Raw genomic sequence first — 20,889 nt, 5'->3', positions numbered from 1 at the left:
TTCTGTGCCCCGACCCCTTTCCTGCTTTTCTGGAGGGTAAGAACCCCCAAACCCCTTCCCTCCGTGTCTCTACTCTCTCTTTTCTCTGGACTTGCCTCCTTCACTATAGGCAACCTTCCACCCTCCATTCCTTCGTCTCCCTTAGCTTGCGCTCTCAAGAACTTAAAACCTCTTCAACTCACACCTGACCTAAAACCTAAATGCCTTATTTTCTTCTGCAATGCCACTTGACCCCAATACAAACTCGACAGTGGTTGCAAATAGCCAGAAAACGGCACTTTCAATTTTTCCATCCTGCAAGATCTAAATGATTCTTGTCGTAAAATGGGCAAATGGTCTGAGGTGCCTGACGTCCAGGCATTCTTTTACACATCGGTCCCTCCCTAGTCTCTGTGCCCAGTGCAACTGATCCCAAATCTTCCTTCTTTCCCTCCTGCCTGTCCCCTCAGTCCCAACCCCAAGTGTCGCTGAGTTTTTCTAATCTTCCTTTTCTACAGACCCATGTGACCTCTCCCCTCCTCCCCAGTCTGCTCCTTGCCAGGCTGAGCTAGGTCCCAATTCTTCCTCAGCCTCTGCTCTTCCACCCTATAATCTTTTTATCACCTCCCCTCCTCACACCCGGTCCAGTTTACAGTTTCATTCCGTAAGTAGCCCTCCCCCACCTGCCCAGCAATTTCCTCTTAAAAAGGTGGCTGAAGCTAAAGGCATAGTCAAGGTTAATGCTCCTTTTTCTTTATCAGACCTCTCCCAAATCAGTGAGCGTTTAGGCTCTTTCATCAAATATGAAAAACCCAGCCCAGTTCATGGCTCATTCGGCAGCAACCCTGAGACGCTTTACAGCCCTAGACCCTAAAAGGTCAAAAGGCCGTCTTATTCTCAATATACATTTTATTACCCAATCTGCTCCTGACATTAAATAAAACTCCAAAAATTAAATTCCGGCCCTCAAACCCCACAACAGGACTTAATTAACCTCACCTTCAAGGTGTACAATAATAGAGTGGAGGCAGCCAAGTAGCAACATATTTCTGAGTTGCAATTCTTTCCTCCACTGTGAGACAAACCCCAGCCACATCTCCAGCACACAAGAACTCCAAACACCTGAACCGCAGCTGCCAGGGGTTCCTCCAGAACCTCCTCCCCCAGGAGCTTGCCACAAGTGCCAGAAATCTGGCCACTGGGCCAAGGAATGCCCACAGCGCGGAATTCCTCCTAAGCCGTGTCCCATCTGTGCAGGACCCCACTGAAAATCGGACTGTTCAACTCACCGGCAGCCACTTCCAGAGCCCCTGGAACTCTGGCCCAAGGCTCTCTGACTCCTTCTCAGATCTTCTTGGCTTAGCAGCTGAAGATTGACACTGCCCGATAGCCTCAGAAGCCTACAGGACCATCACAGATGCTCTAGGTAACTCTCACAGTGGAGGGTAAGTCTGTCCCCTTCTTAATCAATACGGAGGCTACTCCACATTACCTTGTTTTCAAGTGCCTGTTTCCCTTGCTTCTGTAACTGTTGTGCGTATTGACGGCCAGGCTTCTAAACCTCTTAAAACTCCCCAACTCTGGTGCCAACTTAGACAATACTCTTTTAAGCACTCCTTTTAGTTATCCCCACCTGCCCAGGTCCCTTATTAGGCCGAGACACTTTAACTAAATTATCTGCTTCCGTGACTATTCCTGGACTACAGCTATATCTCACTGCCGCCCTTCTTCCCAATCCAAAGCCTCCTTTGCGTCCTCCTCTTGTATCCCCCACCTTAACCCACAAGTATAAGATACCTCTACTCCCTCCTTGGCGACCAATCATGCACCCCTTACCATCTCATTAAAACCTAATCACCCTTACCCCACTCAACGCCAATATGCCATCCCGCAGCATGCTTTAAAAAGATTAAAGCCTGTTATCACTCGCCTGCTACAGCATGGCCTTTTAAAGCCTATAAACTCTCCTTACCATTCGCCCATTTTACCTGTCCTAAAACCAGACAAGGCTTACAGGTTAGTTCAGGATCTGCGCCTTATCAACCAAATTGTTTTGCCTATCCACCCCATGGTGCCAAACCCATATACTCTCCTGTCCTCAGTACCTCCCTCTACAACCCATTATTCTGTTCTAGATCTCAAACCTGCTTTCTTTACTATTCCTTTGCACCCTTCATCCCAGACTCTCTTTGCTTTCGCTTAGACTGACCCTGACACCCATTAGGCTCAGCAAATTACCTGGGCTGTACTGCCGCAAGGCTTCACAGACAGCCCCCATTACTTCAGTCACGCCCAAATTTCATCCTCATCTGTTACCTATCTCGGCATAATTCTCATAAAAACACACGTGCTCTCCCTGCTGATCGTGTCCAATTAATCTCCTAAACCTCAATCCCTTACAAAACAACAACTCCTTTCCTTCCTAGGTATGGTTAGTGCGGTCAGAATTCTTACACAAGAGCCAGGACCGCACCCTGTAGCCTTTCTGTCCAAACAACTTGACCTTACTGTTTTAGCCTAGCCCTCATGTCTGCATGCAGCGGCTGCCGCTGCTTTAATACTTTTAGAGGCCCTAAAAATCACAAACTATGCTCAACTCACTCTCTACATTTCTCATAACTTCCAAAATGTATTTTCTTCCTCATACCTGACACATATACTTTCTGCTCCCCGGCTCCTTCAGCTGTACTCGCTCTTTGTTAAGTCCTATAATTACCATCGTTCCTGGCCTGGACTTCAGTCTGGCCTCCCACATTATTCCTGATACCACGCCTGACCCTCATGACTGTATCTCTCTGATCCACCTGACATCCACCCTATTTCCCCATATTTCCTTCTTTCCTGTTCCTCACCCTGATCACGCTTGATTTATTGATGGCAGTTCCACCAGGCCTAATCGCCACATACAAGCAAAGGCAGGCTATGCTATAGTACAAGCCACTAGCCCGCCTCTTAGAACCTCTCATTTCCTTTCCATTGTGGAAATCCATCCTCAAGGAAATAACTCCTCAGTGTTCCATCTGCTATTCTACTACTACTCAGGGATTATTCAGGCCCCCTCCCTTCCCTACACATCAAGCTCGAGGATTTGCCGCCACCCAGGACTGGCAAATCAGCTTTACTCAACATGCCCCGAGTCAGATAACTAAAATACCTCTTAGTCTAGGTAGACACTTTCACTGGATAGGTAGAGGCCTTTCCCACAGGGTCTGAGAAGGTCACTGCAGTCATTTCTTCCCTTCTCAGACATAATTCCTCAGTTTAGCCTTCCCACCTCTATACAGTCTGATAACAGACCAGCCTTTATTAGTCAAATCAGCCAAGCAGTTTTTCAGGCTCTTAGTATTCATTGAAACCTTTATATCCCTTACGGTCCTCCATCTTCAAGAAAAGTAGAACAGACTAAAGGTCTTTTAAAAACACACCTCACCAATCTCAGCCACCAACTTAAAAAAGAATAGACAATACTTTTATCATTTTCCCTTCTCAGAAGTCAGACCTGTCCTCAGAATGCTACAAGATACAGTCCTATATAGACGCTCCTTTTTATTAGGCCCCAGTCTCATTCCGGACACCAGACCGACTTAGACTGTGCCCCAAAAAAACTTGTCATCCTATCTTCTGTCTAGTCACACTCCTTTTCACGCGCGTCCGTGTGAAGAGACCACCAAACAGGCTTTGTGTGAGCAATAAAAGCTTTTAATCACCTGCGTGCAGGCGGGCTGAGTCTGAAAAGAGAGTTAGCAGAGGTTGGTGGATTATCATTAGTTCTTATAGGTTTTGGGATAGGCGGTGAAGTTAAGAGCAATGTTTTGCGGGCAGGCGTGGATCTCACAAAGTACATTCTCAAGGGTGGGGAGAATTACAAAGAAACTTCTTAAGGGTGGGGGAGATTACAAAGTAACTTCTTAAGGGTGGGGGAGATTACAACGTACATTGATCACTTAGGGTGGGGCAGAAACAAATCACAATGGTGGAATGTCATCAGTTAAGGCTATTTTTACTTCTTTTGTGGATCTTCAGTTACTTCAGGCCATCTGGATGTATACGTGCAAGTCACAGGGGATGCGATGGCTTGGCTTGGGCTCAGAGGCCTGACACTCCTATTCACCATTCTCAACTACTCATACATGCCCTGCTCTTGTTTACACTGCCGGTTTACACTGTTTCTCCAAGCCATCTCAGCTGATATCTCCTGGTGCTATCCCCAAACTGCCACTCTAAACTCTTGAAGTAAATAAATAATCTTTGCTGGCAGGACTATGCTGAATCTCCTTAGGCACTCTAATCAGATGTCCTGGGTCCTCCCAATTCTTAGACCTTTTATACCTGTTTTTCTCCTCCTCTTATTCCATTTAGTTTTTCAATTCATACAAAACCGTATCCAGGCCATCACCAATAATTCTACACGACAAATGTTTCTTCTAACAACCCCACAATATCACCCCTTTACCACAAAATCTTCCTTCAGCTTAATCTCTCCCACTCTAGGTTCCCATACCGCCCCTAATCCCGCTGGAAGCAGCCCTGAGAAACATCGCCCATTATCTCTCCATACCACCCCCAAAAATTTTCACCGTCCCAACACTTTACCACTATTTCGTTTTATTTTTCTTATTAATATAAGAAGACAGGAATGTCAGGCCTCTGAGCCCAAGCTAAGCCATCATATCCCCTGTGACCTGCATGTACACATCCAGATGGCCGGTTCCTGCCTTAACTGATGGCATTGTCTTGTGAAATTCCTTCTCCTGGCTCATCCTGGCTCAAAAGCTCCCCTACTGAGCACCTTGTGACCCCCACTCTGCCCGCCAGAGAACAACCCCCCTTTGACTGTAATTCTCCTTTATCTACCCAAATCCTATAAAACAGCCCCACCCTTATCTCCCTTCTCTGACTCTCTTTTCGGACTCAGCCCACCTGCACCCAGGTAATTAAAAGCTTTATTGCTCACGCAAAGCCTGTTTGATGGTCTCTTCACAGGGACGCGCATGAAACTGCCTTTGTTCATTCCTGGGCACAGGCCAAACTAACTTTGGGAGAAATTTAGTTTATAGTTTAACTTTGAAATAAAGATGATAATGAAACCATCTTTGCAAAAATTATAACAATGAGAAAATTAATGACAGTAAAAGATATCTAATTGGCCAGGCGCAGTGGCTTATGCCTGTAATCCCAGCACATTGGGAGGCCAAGGCGGGCAGATCACAAGGTCAGGAGATTGAGACCATCCTGGCTAACACGGTGAAACCCCGTCTCTACTAAAAATACAAAAAAATTAGCCAGGCATGGTGGCAGGCGCCTGTAGTCCCAGCTACTCCGGAGGCTGAGGCAGGAGAATGGTGTGAGCCCAGGAGGTGGAGCTTGCAGTGAGTCAAGATCACATCACTGTACTCCAGCCTGGGCTACACAGCAAGACTCCCTCTAAAAAAAAAAAAAAAAAAAGAGATCTAACCAATCCCCATCTTTCCTTTAATCTCCAAACTGCCCTTAATCATTCCTGGGCTTGGGCCAACCTAACTTTGGGAAACATTTAGTTTATAACTTAAATGATAATAGCCCCTCCCCAAATCTAAACTGTCTTTGTAAAGCTAATAAAAGACCACCAGGGTAGGAGGATATCAGGAGCATGAATTCTGCTAAGGTGTCTATGTAAACAATTACCAGCCATTATTCCAGAGGTCACAAGATTTACAGCTTCCTCAATTACTCCTGCAGATAACATCACTATTGTAGAACCTAAGATTGGCCTTTTGAGATGTCTTTTCAGGTTTGCATTTCTGACCACAATGGCTCCATGCAGACCCATCAAGCAGTCTTGTGGCCTCACCTGAAAGAAAACTATTTTCCACATCCCTATGATTGCATCCCCAACTAATCAGCAGCACCCATTCCCTGGCCCTCCAAAGTATCCTTGAAAAATTCTAGCCTTGGAATTTTCAGGGAGGCTGATTTGAATAATAATAAAACTCTGGTCTCCTGTTCAGCCAGCAATGTGAATTAAACTCTTTCTCTATTGCAATTCTCCTGTCTTATAATTGGCTCTATCTGGACAGTGAGCAAGATGAATCTATCAGGTGGTTACATATGCCACTTCTACTTAAATCCATTGACCATAGCTTAGTCCCATGGCACATCGAGCCACAAGAGAAGCTGATAAATATAGTCTTTATTGTGGATGACCATGTGCCCAGTTAAATTTCTGAGGTCCTATTTTTCAAGGGCAAGAGAAGGGGAGCCCCTGGGAGATACTAAGAGTCTGTCAACCTAAAGAAAGAAACTGAGGCAAAATTAATATAGGCTGAGAGTTTGTTTGGCCCAAGGTTGAGGACTGCAGCCTGGGAAACACTAGGAAGTGCTCCAGAGGAGAAGGAGAGGCTCAAAGTCTTAAAGAAAAAAGGATGAACCAGGAGAGGGGGCAATTTACAAAAGTTTTTGGTCAGGAATTCTCACTGGTTTACAGAAATAACATTGATACGTGATTGGCTATACGTTGTTGTACAAAAGGGTATGAGTTATGGTGTCCAGCATATGGCATTACTAGATTAATTTATAGCTATTGCTGGAAACACTCCATCTAGAGTCCATACAGCAGGCAACTATGAAATGATTACTAAACTCAAGGGCACAGCTGAGGGGGGAGATGGGATGTGACTGTCATCATATTTCAATGCCTCTCTGTTCCTGATCATTTAAAGGAGGCTTGCATTCCTCAGATTAAGTTTCTTTTCTTTTTCATTTCCCCCTTTTGATCAAAAATCTTTTTTCTTGAAAGCATTGATGATCAAAGTCTGAGTGTCAAAGTGTTCCTTGTCACTGGGAAGACTCATTCCCATATAGTCCTGTCTTACATCAGAGATAAGGAGGACACATCTTAGGGAAGAAATCTTAAGAGCGCCCAAAAGCTGAATTGTGATAGAATCAGAGACTGGCAAGAGACCTCAGTCAAATCATTGATTTATATAGCTATTATCACTTGTTGAATCATCTTTAGTCTTTGGAATATCATGATTTTAATTTTCTCAGAAATAAAACAATGAGAGATATATAGCATTAATAATTTGAATACTAGAAATATAATGTGCAGAAGGATTATAATCAAAAAGAGAATTCGGATGACAGAACAATAACAAAAAGAAACTATTCCATTAGGGAGCCAACTAAAAACATCAAGAAGAAAATTAAATCCAGGGTGTTTTGTAAGAGTCTTGTTGTAGCCAGAAAACGATTCCAAATTCAATCCAAATTTTAGGTGAACAATAAAAAGTCAAAAACAATGGTCAGGGCTAAAATCTAACAGTAGGCATACTATTAAAATACAATTTTTCTCTTCCAGTTCCCCCATTTTATCAAAGATAAATCATAGTAAGACCAATTTACTTGTAAAATAAGTTTTAGTCTTACTATACTTTGCCTGATTATTTACATAAAGTTCAACAAGAATACTGATTGGCCATAGTCTCCTTTTAAATTGGCTTTGCTGGAACATTTGCATAAAGAATTAGACTTTTAAAAGCCTCTTGAGGCTACAAAGCCAAGCCAAGAATTCACCATCAGACTATGCCTGTAATACCTGTACAAATCAGGTGAGTTCCTTTCTTCTCAAGGTCTCAAAATATCTTGAAGTTCCTGGGCCTGTCAGAAAGTGACATTCTTTACTTACCACAAGGTCAGGAATCTTGTAAGAAAACTGTGTAGGCAAGGTACCAGGTCAGTCTTTTTCTAAGTCTATTGGCTTTCTAAAGTCAATTTCGATCCCTCAAAGACTGGTGATATCTAAAATATATTATTCCAGTCAACGCCTTGGTAAAATTACCAGTGTCTCCAACTGTGTCCTGTTACAAAAAAAACCCCAAATTCTTATTGAACTTATGCAAATTACTATATTGCTAGAAAACAAGGATATTCATGAATAGTTTCTGAATTCCAGAGAAGACAGGTAAAGAGAAAGGTAAATGTCTCAATTTCTTCACAAAAGTATACATTACCTGGCCAGGCATGGAAGCTGACACCTGTAATCCCAGCACTTTGGGAGGCCAAGGCCAGTGGACCACCTGAGGTCAGGAGTTCGAGACCAGCTGGAACACATGCTGAAACCTCATTTCTACTAAAAATACAAATATAAGCCAGGTGTTGTGGTGGGCTAATCCCAGCTACTTGGGAGGCTGAGGCAGGAGAATCACTTGAACCCGGGAGGCAGAGGTTGCAGTGAGCCAAGATTGTGCCACTGCACTCCAGCCTGAGTGACAGAGCAAGACTCCAACTCAAACAAACAAAAAAAAAGGTATACTTTACCCGATTGCTGTTGGCCATAAATAACTCAAAAGCTAATATATCTTGACTCTGGAAAACAAAACATAAAAAGAATCAGCAATTTTTTTTTTTTTTTTTTTTTGAGATGGAGTCTTACTTTCTCTCCCAGGCTGGAGTGCAGTAGCGTGATCTTGGCTCACTGCAACCTCCGCTTCCTGGGTTCAAGCGATTCTCCTGCCTCAGCCTCCTGAGTAGCTGAGATTACTGGAGCGTGCCACCACGCCCGTCTAATTTTTTGTATTTGTAGTAGAGACGGAGTTTCAGCATGCTAGCCAGGATGGTCTCAATCTTCTGGCCTTGTGATTCACCCACCTCAGCCTCCCAAAGTGCTGGAATTACAAGCATGAATGAGCCACCTTGCCTGGACTTTTTTTTTTTTTTTTTTTTGAGATGGAGATTTGTTCTCGTCGCCCAGACTGGAGTGCAGTGGCTCGATCTCGGCTCACTGCAACCTCTGCCTCCCGGGTTCAAGCAATTCTCCTTGCCTCAGCCTCCCAAGTAGCTGGGATTTCAGGCACCCACGACCATGCCTGGCTAATTTTTGTATTTTTAGTGGAGACAGAGTTTCGCCATGTTGACCAGGCTGGTTTCAAACTCCTGACCTCAGGTGATCCACCCGCCTTGGCCTCCCAAAGTGCTGGGATTACAGGCATTAGCCACTGTGTCCAGACATAATCAGCAATGTTTTAAACAAAAGGACATGAAAATAATTTCACTACTCCATCAATTCAGTCCCATGAAATTGAATCTTGTTCTGCTTAATGTTGGGTTAGCAATCTTCGTGAACCTGTCAGGTTTATATTAGAGTTCTGGAAGTTTTTTTGTTTTTTGTTTTTTGAGATGGAGTCTCGCTATTGATGCCCAGGCTGGAGTGCAATGACACGATCTCGGCTCACTGCAACCTCTGCCTCCAGGGTTCAAGTGATTCTCCTGCCTCAGCTTACCAAGTAGCTGGGATCACAGGTGCCCACCACCACACCCAGCCTGCCTCGGCCTCCCAAAGTATTGGGATTACAGGCATGAGCCACCGTGCCCAGCCTCATGTCTTTCTTATAACCTTCCTTATTAAAAACACATCTTACTTTCCTGCTATATTCTGTATGTAGAATTGTTTTCCTTCTTTAGTTTTAGTTACCATGTGTTAGAATTTTAACTCTTTGTAACCTTAATTTATGGTGAAAATCTAAAAAGTAAGCAATTTTTAACTCTCAGTCAAGTACCAACTTGAATTTATGAATCTTTGGAGATGGAGTCTCGCTGTGTCGCCCAGGCTGGAGTACAGTGGTGCAATTTTGGCTCACTGCAACCTCCGCCTCCCGGGTTCAAGCAATTCTGCCTCAGCCTCACGAGTAGCTGGGACTGCAGGTGCACGCCGCCACGACCGGCTAATTTTTTGTATTTTAGTAGAGACGGGGTTTCACTATGTTGCCCAGGATGATCTTGAACTCCTGAGCTCAGGCGATCCACCCGCGTCGGCCTCCCAAAGTGCTAGGATTACAGGCGTGAGCCATCCCGCCCGGCCTGAAACTTAGGCTTTTCTAATCGAACAATTTTTTAATGTGGAACAGAACATTTTTAGTGTATCTAAATACCTTTTGTTTTCTGAAGTTAAAAGCATGTAAGCTTAAACTCATGATTAGTAATTAATGTCTTAGCATTATATCTTATTTGTGGATGATTTAGATTATCATATGCAATGAATATCATTTAGTTTAGCAAAATTCTAACGCTATAGCTCAAAAAGATTTGAAAACCCTTTTCAAGTAAACATTTTATAAAACATAATAATTATTAAAAGTTCATTTATAAATTTCTACCTCATTTACATCTATTTTATTTATTTATTTGTTTTGCGATGAAGTCTCGCTCTTGTCCCCCACGCTGGAGTACAATGGTGCGATCTTGGCTCACTGCAATCTCTGCCTCCCGGGTTCAAGCGATTCTCCTGCCTCAGCCTCCCGAGTAGCTGGGATTACAGGCGCCTGCCACCACAACTGGCTAATTTTTGTATTTTTAGTAGAGACAGCGTTTCACCATGTTGGCCAGGCTGGTCTGGAAATCCTGACCTTAGGTGATCTGCCCGCCTCGGCCTCCCAAAGTGCTGGGATTACAGGCATGAGCCACTGTGCCCGGCCTATTTATTTTTAACAATCATGTTTGGAAAATTTTACAATTGGACAAATCTATCCATTTCAAGTTAAATTTTCTATTCACCATTTTTATGATTGGGCAAGAATCTTAAAGTTAAATATATATATATTTTGTTGCTAACTCAGAAGACATAGTTGTTTTTATTAAACCAACAATATTAAACTAGCCTTATTTACCAAAAGAGTTACTCGAGTCAATGGGAACTTTGGAAAGCATTTATTTGGGCTTACTAATTTCTGAGTGCTCATTTATGTATAAGTGCATTTGGTATCATGAAGACAATATACAAACACATGGATGTGCACAGGTATACATGAAATACAGACAAAGGGCCAGGTGCAGTGGCTCACATCTGTAGTCCCAGAAATTTGGGAGGCCAAGGTGGGAGGACCGCTTGAGCCCAGGAGGCGAAGGTTGCAGTGAGCTGAGATCTCACCACTGCACTTTAGCCTGGGTGACAGAGAAGGACTCTGCATAAAAAAGTCAAAAAGGCCAGGCACAGTGGCTCACGGCTGTAATCCTAGCACTTTGGGAGGCCGAGGTGGGTGGATCACAAGATCAGGAGATCAAGACCATCCTGGCTAACACGGTGAAACCCCGTCTCTACTAAAAATACAAAAAATTAGCCAGGTGTGGTGGCGGGCACCTGTCATCCCAGCTACCCGGGAGGCTGAAGCAGGAGAATGACATGAACCTGGGAGGCGGAGCTTGCAGTGAGCTGAGATCACTCCATTGCACTCCAGCCTGGGCAACAGAGCAAGACTCCATCTCAAAAAAAAAAAAATTTTTTTTAAATATTATATAGATTTGATTTTTTTTTTTTTTTTTTGACAGAGTCTTGCTCTGTCACCAGGCTGGAGTGCAGTGGCATGATCTCGGCTCACTGCAAGCTCTGCCTCCCGGGTTCAAGCAGTTCTCCTGCCTCAGCCTCCTGAGTAGCTGGGACTACAGGCGCATACCACAAAACCTGGCTAATTTTTGTATTTTTAGTAGAGACGGGGTTTCACCATGTTGGCCAGGATGCTCTCGATCTCCTGACCTTGTGATCCACCCACCTCGGCCTCCCAAAGTGCAGGCATGAGCCACTACACTGGCTTTTTTTTTTTTTTTTTGAGATGGAGTCTCACTCTTGTCGCCCAGGCTGGAGTGCAGTGGTGTGATCTCTGCTCACTGCAACCTCCGCCTCCCGGGATCAAGCGATTCTCCCGCCTCAGCCTCCTGAGTAGCTGGGATTACAGGCGCCCACCATGACATCCAGCTAATTTTTGTACTTTTAGTAGAGACAGGCTTTCACCATGTTGACCAGGCTGGTCTTGAACTCCTGACCTCAGGTGATCTGCCCCACCTGGGCCTCCCAAAGTATTGGGATTATAGGCATAAGCCACCACGCCTGGCCTATAGCTTTGATTTTTAAAAGGTTTGAAAGTATCTTTCTCAAGTCAGTGTCACTATAGGATTTATCTGGGTAGGTACAGCAGAATGGGGCTAGGAAGTAAATGACATTGTCAAGAGATTAGTTAAAAGTAATACATAATAGGCTGAGCAGGGATCTAAGTAAAGATAGAAGGGAGTCAATAAAGATTAGGAAGGAGCCTGAGTAGTCTAGTCATTTTTGTTTAGGTGTCCATCCTGCCCCAGTATGGCTTATGTACCTAAGGGAAAACAAACTCCTGTTTCAGAAGTGTGCCCTGATGTTTTAAGTCAGTGTTTCTTCATAGAGGCACTATTGGCATTTTTGGCAGACCAAAATTCCACACGACTGTCCTGTGTCTCCCCTCCCCCATCCCTCTTCCAGTAAAAGCCAGTGGTACTCCCAGTCAGAGCAACATTTCCAAATACTCTGAAGGAGGCAGTGCTGCTCCCAGTTGAGAACCTCTGATCTAAATCAGTCATCATAATCTCAACTCCCTTGTCACTGTAATTGGCTCAAAAATGGATAACTTAGTTCAGAGCTAAGCAAATTAGCACATGGCATTCCCCTAGTCACCATGATTGGTTCAGGTTGTTCTAATTAATGAAAGGCCAGGATTTTTGTTTGATGGTTAAAGACTCACTCCTCAGTTCCTCTGGACTTAATGCAGAAGCATGCAGGCTCAGTTGCTGCTGACCTCCAGCCTGTATAACCACGAGGGGAGCCAATCCCAGAATGAAGCTCACGTTGAGGGTGCGAGAGTAGAGAAAGAGAAGAAACAAGGCCCTTGGTATGTCTGTCTGGCAGGTAACCCAAGGCCTTTGCCACTGCTGAATTTTCAGTTACTTGAGTCGGTAAATGCCCTTAATGTTTAAACCAGTTAGACTTGAGTTTCCTGTAGCCTGCAAATGAAAACATACTACTTAAAAGAGGGAAGCAGAGGGAGGTTGAGTCAAGGGAGTGAAATACGGGGAAGGATATAAATGAGAGTAAGGGATACAACAGATGAATGAAGAGGCTTATGTCTTGGGTAGAAACTGAGGAATACAGGGACAATAGGTATGCTAAGTTTGGCTGGATGCGAGATTTTACAAAAATTAGTCTGGTCTCTTAGACTGGGGGTTGGGGTAATCAGAACAGTTCTAGTATTGTGTTGTGATAACCCAGTGAGGTTTGTATTACTCCAATGTATAGAAGAAGAAACTTGAGACCCACCCAAGTACCTAAAGCTAGTAGCTGGCAGAGGTAAGCCCTAGCAAATTTGATTCCAGCACCTAAGTTCTTTCCACTGCTTCCCCATTGTTATGTGATGCCAATGGGGTGGAAATAACCAGGGTGAGAACAAAAAACCCTTATTAATCCTTCCCACACCTCAATCCAGGATGAAGGGCAAGACCAAATGGGTCAGTGGGATTGTTTTCCCCTGTAAAAGCGATGGGCCACCTGTAGGGTCGGTGGTACAGTGTTTGGAGTACCATGCACAAATGGGTCATGGGCTCGCTGGAAAGGCAAGACAGACAGCTTACCCAACACCTACACAAATGAAGGGAATAACCACAAGGTACACTGAGGAGAAGTGGCTCAAAGATTCTGGTGAGATGAAAACTATTTAAGGTTAATTGCCAAGCACTGAATATCACATTCTGTGCATCTGCATGCTTCTCATTTCAGAAACTTATTTTTCCCCTTTTAATTTATTTTTGAATAGTTCATGCATGCATATGGAAAAAATGCAAAAGGTACAGAAAACGTTCCATGAGAAATAGGTTTTTCTTCCTTCTCTGTCCCTCAGTTATCTTCCCTGGAGGTAACTACTGTTGACAGACTCAATCTTTCCCCTCCGTCTCCTTCCTCCCCCTCTCTCCATTAGAGGCAGGGGTATGTCAAGCTGAGTTCTCTTTATTTGGTAGCAATACAGACCTTCCTAATGTAGCAGGGTTTAAATGTACTCACTAAAAACTAGATTTACAAAAAAAAGCAACTTCATTGTCGATAATGATTTCTTGCTGGAAAGCCCCCATTCCTAACGTAGGTGGAAACACTTGATCTTGCCAATTAAAGGTAACACAGTCTCTTTACGTTTACAACAGTTTTCCTTGGAAACTCACTCAATCTTTCAAGGTTTCTCCCTGATCCAATGGTTCTCCTCTCCCACTTCTCTTTCTTAAGATGTCATTCGGGTCTTGAAAAACTGGCAGAGCAAGTCTGTCTGCCATCATCCAGGCTCTCCCGGCCTCCCTTGATGAGGAAATTATCTCCGGCTTTTGGGCCTAGAACCATTTCCACTACTGACAGCCACGGCCCCTGCCATGGCTCTCAGTGGCAAGGACCATAAGCCTCACAACTTCTTGGCCCAAGGGCCAGGCCTCTTCCAGCCCATTCATCCCATTAGCCTTTATCATTCTACCACTGGATCTCCTAAAGACCATGCATGACCCCAAAGAACAGAAATCACTATCTCAAGCTACTTCTCTGTAGTTACCCCGGTTCCAAACAGAAAGCAGGATACATGCCTCCTCTTCTTTTAGTGCACCCTCCACTCATCTGGGGCAACCCTGTGCTGGTACTCTCTGAATGTCCCAAATTCCTGCCTGCTGCTTTTTTTTTTTTTTTTTTTTTTTTGGGACAGAGTCTCGCTCTGTTGCCCAGGCTGGAGTGCAGTGACGCGATCTCAGCTCATTGCAACCTCCGCCACCCAGATTAAAGCAATTCACCTGCCTCAGCTTCCCGAGTAGCTGGGATTACAGGTGCCCGCCACCACGCCCAGCTAATTTTTTGTATTTTTAGTACAGATGGTTTCACCATGTTAGCCAGGATGGTCTCGATCTCCTGACCTCATGATCCGCCCACCTTGGCCTCCCCAAGTGCTGGGATTACAGGCGTGAACCACTGCACCCGGCCTCTGCCTGCTGCTTTTATCTTCCCTTCCAGTCATGAGAAAGTGGCTCTGACATCATATCCTGTGTTCTTCTTGGCTGTATCTGTGATCTGTTCAGGGGCACTTTTCCAAGTTCTGCCTCACTAGCATATACAAATACATTTTTTTCTTTCAACAATGTCTGGTTTTTGACACTCAAAGCCCTTGATTTCAAACTATTGTTTTGCTATGAATTAATCCTATTTTGAAATTCTAAGCTAAGGGATGACTTATCCAATCTTGGCTGGGTTTTTTTTTCTCCCTGTGACTGAATGCATGCCATTGACTCAAGGGGGAAGCCATGGAGACAAAGACTTACTGGGCAGGCAAATACACTGATTTAACGTCTCACAAAGGTTATCTCCATTACATCAGCATAAGGTTCCCAGAGCCAGCTGAAAGGAAACCAACGTCAGTGTGGCAAATGCTACTGAGTTTTCACATTGTAACAGGGGGTGCAACCGCTGCATGGGAAAATTTCACGGTCCTGAAAGTGAACATGATCAGAATTGAACTACTGATTCCATAACTCTCCAGCCAATTATTGAGGTGCAAACTTGAGTCATTCTGGATTCCTCTCTTTTCTTCACACCTCACATTTAATCCATCTGCAATCAGGGCATCTAATGGAAAGAGGAGCCTTTTTCTAATTTTCACAAAGGCACCGTATGAGCCGGTAGTGGCCTGTTGATGAAACCCTAGGCCAAGCTGCCAGTGTCTGTCACCCGGACTTCTGCCATAGGCTCCTCCCAGATCTCCCCACTTCCGTGTTTGACCTCCTACAATCCATTCTCCACAAAGTAGCCAGATTAAATACAAATGAGATCACACCACTTCCCAGCTTCCTTTCTTTAACTCCTCCTCCAGCTTGTCATCACTCTGATCCGGCTCTGCTTCTTTCATCCTGGCTCCTGTTCAGCCTTATCTCCTTCCAAGCTTTCCCTCTAACTACTTGCCTGTAACCACACTGCCCATCTTGTTGCCTTCAAGTACACGGTACACAAGGCTTGTTTCTATCCCAGGTCCTTTGCACTTACTGTTTCTTTGCTAGCAGAGCTCTTCCCTGGATGCTCACACTGCTGCCTCCTTCACAGCCTTCAGGTCTCAACTCAGATGTCACTAAGCAGCCAAACCACACCCCAGGTACCAACTACCATAGTACTCCGCTTTATTTTCTTCATAGTCCTTAGTTCCTGAAATTGTATTATTTATTTGTTTGTTTACATGTTTATTGCATATCCCCCTTCCCTTAGAATGCAACTGCCTTAAACAGGGACTTGTTTTGTCTTTTTCAGCACTGTGTTTCTAGCATTAAACAGTTGCCTGGCACATTGTTAACACTCAGTAAATATTTGTGGACTGAAACCAACTAATGTCAACCAGGGGAGGGAAGGAGGAAGACAGTATTTTTTAGCTGCACAAGCACCAGTGGATACCATTTTATTTCTTTGCTAGGGAATATTAATTTCCATGTCAGGAAATCATTAAGGTTAATGTGGCTTTCTCGTGAGATACTTAGCTGCGAGACAGAACTAACATCTATATTTATGTCACAGAAAAGCAGTTTTTTCAAATAATCAAGTCAGTCAAAATATAAATTGTTAGCCTTATTTGCCAGGTACAAAATTTGACTGATTTGCATGTATGTTGGTGTGTGCTTAACCTGCTGCAGATCACCTGCTATTTTAGGGTGCCCTGATTGCTAAAAGTTGTTTACTTGATTTCTTTCATTTGAAGTGTGGCTGAGGAGGCAGGCCTGATCAGAGGCAAGTGGTCTAAAGAGAGACAATGTGAAAGATTTGTTTGGGTGTGCTATAAAATAACCACCAACAATCTTTAGGTCTTTCTTGGACTTTTGAGACTGAAAACTAAGCTCTCTTTGATAAGTGCTTTAAAATTTGAATAACTGATACACTGGAAAGTCCTGAACAGCTGTACAAACACTGAAGCAAGGACTTTCAAATTCTGCCCTGGGTGCTGGGCATGGTGACTCACACCTGTAATCCCAGCACTTTTGGAGGCCAAGACAAGAAGATTGCTTAAGCCCAGGAGCTCAAGACCAGCCTGAGCAACATGGCAAAACCCCATCTCTACAAAAAATTAGCTAGGTGTGGTGGCACACATTTGTAGTCCCAGCTCTCTGGGAGGCTGAGGTGGGAGGATTGCTTGAGCCCAGGAAGTTGAGGCTGCAGTGAACTGTGATCATCACATCACTGCATTCCAGCCTGGGTGACAGAGTGAGGCCCTATCTCAAAAAAAAAAAAATAAATTAAAAAAAAAAATCTGCTCTGAGTTACATGTTTTGAATAAAGGTGCAGAAAAATTAAGCCTCATCTTGATGAGAATAAACAAGATCAAACATCCTTCTCCATCCCTGGTTCATAGTGTCCACAATTTCTATCATTAGAGCTCTATATTTTTATCCTGGAGTCCTTTTTTAAAATGCGTCTATTCCTGGCAATATATTAGACCAATTCATGAAGACACTGAAACCACTTAGATCCATGTTCGTCCCTATTAGCCCTGAAACAGTAAGAAAGAGATGCATCAGGGGAGGCTAGATGTACCAACTCTGACTTTGCCGAACCTAGAATGGACCCAGTACAGTACAGTAGAGTACAGTAGTTGTTGAGCCTTTGGATAATGATATTGTGGAGCAAATTATAAGTTTTGCGATGTGAGTTACTTAATCTAAGAAAATAGATTTTTTGGCCGGGTGCGGTGGCTCATGCCTGTAATCTCAGCACTTTGGGAGGCCAAGGTGGGTGGATCATGAGGTCAGGAGTTCAAGACCAGCCTGGCTAACATGGTGAAACCCTGTCTCTACTAAAAATACAAAAAATATATATATTAGTCAGGTGTGGTGGCACGTGCCTGTAGTCCTAGCTACTCAGGAGGCTGAGGTTGCAGTGAGCCGAGATCGTGCCACTGCACTCCAGCCCGGGTGACAGAGTGTAACTCCATCTAAAAAAAAAAAAAAAGAAAATGGATTTTTTAAAGTTCAAATGTTGCTATGCAGTATAAATTTTGATGGATTTTTTTTTCTAGTGAGGGTCCCAACAGGCAACAGATGACACACTTGAATTAGGATAATTTGAGGAGAGTTTATTATTATTTTCTATTTATTTTTCGAGACAGAGTCTTACCCTGTCACCCAGGCTGGGGTGCAGTGGGAGAGAGTTTATTTTTAAAGAGACTATTTACAGGAGAGCTGGTGGGGTGTAATGGAAACATAAGGCTAGTCTAGAAACCAGGGGTTAGAAGCCTCAGAATGGCTTATACCCTTAGGCCCTAAGGAGTGATGATCAGAACCTGGAAAGGGAGTGTCATTTGGAGGAGACCACCTTGAGAGGAGCAGTGACCTTTACTCAAGGGACACAAGGCCGGGCGCGGTGGCTCACGCCTGTAATCCCAGCACTTTGGGAGCCGAGGTGGGTGGATCACAAGGTCAGGAGTTCAAGACCAGCCTGGCCAAGTTGGTGAAACCCCGTCTCTACTAAAAATACAAAAAAAATTAGCCAGGCGTGGTGGCACGTGCCTGTAATCCCAGCTACTCCGGAGGCTGAGGCAGAGAATTGCTTAAACCTGGAGGGGTGGGGGTTGCAGTGAGCCGAGATTGCGCCACTGCACTCCAGCTGGGGTGACAGAGTGAGATTCCATCTCAAAAAAAAAAAAAAAAAAAAAAAAAAGAGTGATCAAGGGACACAAACAGCTAGAGTCAACCTCTCTAGGAAAAAGCCAAGGAAATAAAAACTTTGATCTTGCACTTCTCGCTTTTCTGCCAGAGCTCCTCATTGGCCAAAACTAACTTGAAGCCAAAGGGAGATGGAGCATATTCACATTAGTGGGGCAGAGGGGGAGGTAGAAAAGGGTGGAGAGGAATCTGGAGGAGCATAATGACACCCCCATTCACTCCACAAGAAGCGCTGAGGAAGAGCCATCCACATCTCTCCCTTTCCCACTGCAAGCTTTCAGAGTGAAGCAGTCTTGGGCTGGAAGAGTGGAGAGGATGTATCCTTAAAATCAGATTTGGAGTATTGATTAATATCTTACCAGATTTGGAGTGTGTGTATTTATATATATATGTGTATATATATACGTGTGTGTGTGTGTGTGTGTATGTGTGTGTGTGTGTGTATATATATATATTTCTTTTTTTTTTTTTTTTTTTTTTTTTGAGATGAGAGTCTTGCTCTGTTGCCTAGGCTGGAGTGCAGTGGTGTGATCTCGGCTCACTGCAACCTCCACCTCCCGGGTTCAAGCGATTCTCCTGCCTCAGCCTCCTGAGTAGCTGGGATTACAGGTGTGTGCCACCACGCCAGGCTAATTTTTGTATTTTTAGTAGAGACAGGGTTTCACCATGTTGGTCAGGCTGGTCTCGAACTCCTGACCTTGTGATCCACCCACCTTGGCCTCTCAAAGTGCTGGGATTACAGGTGTCAGCCACCGCACCCAGCCTGATTAATATCTTACACTGGACATTCTAATCTCCGTATCAAGACTGTGTTTGTAATTGAAAGTGATAGTCTATAGTGATAGCAATCATTATAAGCCAGAAAATTTAAGGGCTTGCCAGAATTTTCATACTAGAACATATCTATAGATGTCTAGATAGATAGATGGATAGACTTTATATATGCAAAGGGAAAATAGGGACAAAAATAAAGTTGCTTTTTTTTTTTTTTTAATTGAGACAGGGTTTTGCTCTGTCACCCAGGCTGGAGTACAGTGGCACAATCTCAGCTCACTTGGCTCACAGCCTCGACCTCTGGGCTCAAGTGATCCTCCCACCTCAGCCTCCTGAGTAGATGGGACTACAGGCATGCACCACCACACTGGCTAAGTTTTACATTTTTTTGTAGAGACGAGGTTTCACCATGTTACCCAGGCTAGTCTTGAACTCCTAGGCTCAAGTGATCCACCCGCCTTGGCCTCCCAAAGTGCTACAATTACAGGCGTGAACTGCTGTGCCCAGCCTAAAGTTGCTTTTTTATTACATCAGAGAATTCTTATTCAACATAATGTTTTCCAACTTTCTCACTTTACAGGCAATGAAACTGAATCCGAGAGAGCTTGATTCACATACCCCATCTCAGCAAGCCACTTCACACCAAAATCCAAACTAGAAGCATAAATCGAGGCATCTATAGGACATGCCACTGTGGGCTTATGCAAGAAGTTAGCACTGTTGCAAATTTCAAAAAAGGTCTAAGGCAAAATTTTAAACAAGGTCTATGAGCTATCTTTGCTGTATCGCTTGGCAGCAGACATTACCCTTAGGTCGTGTGGTATCTGGTAGTTGGAGAAGTCTCACTGGCCAAGCCAGGCTTCCTTGTTACAGTGACTTATACCTCTCCTCTGAGGTTTAGACCTTAGTTCTGTGATACAGAAATTCAATTTCATCTTTTCACCCAAGAATAATCAGGTTCCAATGAATTGATCTACTTGTCAACCTCACAAACAGAGTTACTGGTAAATAAAAATGTTCATTCAATTATGCTGAGAAATGTTACTGTCAAAGAAATAAGACTGATATCAGCTAGTCAGCATATTCTCTGGCTGAATTGTTTGGAGGGAAAATATAGATAAATCAGACATTCATTTTCATTCTCAAGAAAATAACTTCAAGTGTAAGTCCCACTGACAGTGGGTCAAAGACATAAACTTCACACATAAATGACAACATATAATAACAATTTGCTTTACTAAGCATATGCTCTGCATTTTTTTTTTTTTTTTTTTGAGATGGAGTCTCGCTCTGTTGCCCAGGCTGGAGTGCAATGGCGCAATCTCAGCTCAGTGCAAGCTGCACCTCCCAGGTTCATGCCATTCTCCTGCCTCAGCCTCCCGAGTAGCTGGGACTAAAGGCATCTGTCACCACGCCCAGCTAATTTTTTTGTATTTTTAGTAGAGACAGGGTTTCACCGTGTTAGCCAGGATGGTCTCGATCTCCGGACCTCGTGATCCGCCCGCCTCGGCCTCCCAGGTTCAAGCGATTCTCCTGCCTCAGCCTCCTTAGTAGCTGGGATTGCAGGCATATGCCACCATGCCCAGCTAATTTTGTGTTTTTGGTAGAGATGGGGTTTCTCCGTGTTGGTCAGGCTGGTCTCGAACTCCC

General features: G+C 44.0%; 1 long non-coding RNA gene across 1 annotated transcript, besides 4 other annotated features; it reads left to right on the top strand.

The window, feature by feature from the left end:
• On the top strand, nt 1,280–20,265 carry LOC124907774 (uncharacterized). The gene is made up of 2 exons (XR_007086337.1): nt 1,280–1,424; nt 19,820–20,265. It is a non-coding gene; the product is annotated as an uncharacterized LOC124907774 (long non-coding RNA).
• Nucleotides 2,493–3,073: an enhancer, noted in NCBI's record as "H3K27ac hESC enhancer chr2:64303844-64304424 (GRCh37/hg19 assembly coordinates)". NCBI's record gives its function as "activates a minimal SCP1, AML or CMV promoter by ChIP-STARR-seq in primed H9 embryonic stem cells {active_cell/tissue: H9 hESC(primed)}" and the evidence as "EXISTENCE:reporter gene assay evidence [ECO:0000049][PMID:30033119]".
• Nucleotides 3,074–3,655: an enhancer, noted in NCBI's record as "H3K27ac hESC enhancer chr2:64303262-64303843 (GRCh37/hg19 assembly coordinates)". NCBI's record gives its function as "activates a minimal SCP1, AML or CMV promoter by ChIP-STARR-seq in primed H9 embryonic stem cells {active_cell/tissue: H9 hESC(primed)}" and the evidence as "EXISTENCE:reporter gene assay evidence [ECO:0000049][PMID:30033119]".
• Nucleotides 8,829–9,329: an enhancer, noted in NCBI's record as "H3K27ac hESC enhancer chr2:64297588-64298088 (GRCh37/hg19 assembly coordinates)". NCBI's record gives its function as "activates a minimal SCP1, AML or CMV promoter by ChIP-STARR-seq in primed H9 embryonic stem cells {active_cell/tissue: H9 hESC(primed)}" and the evidence as "EXISTENCE:reporter gene assay evidence [ECO:0000049][PMID:30033119]".
• Nucleotides 16,718–16,807: a silencer, noted in NCBI's record as "silent region_11546". NCBI's record gives its function as "represses an Ori minimal core promoter by ATAC-STARR-seq in GM12878 lymphoblastoid cells {active_cell/tissue: GM12878}" and the evidence as "EXISTENCE:reporter gene assay evidence [ECO:0000049][PMID:35858748]".
• Nucleotides 20,266–20,889: the final 624 nt, after the last annotated feature.

The sequence above is a fragment of the Homo sapiens genome, chromosome 2 (assembly GCF_000001405.40).
Source record: "Homo sapiens chromosome 2, GRCh38.p14 Primary Assembly".
Taxonomy (NCBI): domain Eukaryota; kingdom Metazoa; phylum Chordata; class Mammalia; order Primates; family Hominidae; genus Homo; species Homo sapiens.
Note: the sequence above shows the minus strand (reverse complement) of the source record. Positions and strands in the feature narration are given on the sequence as shown.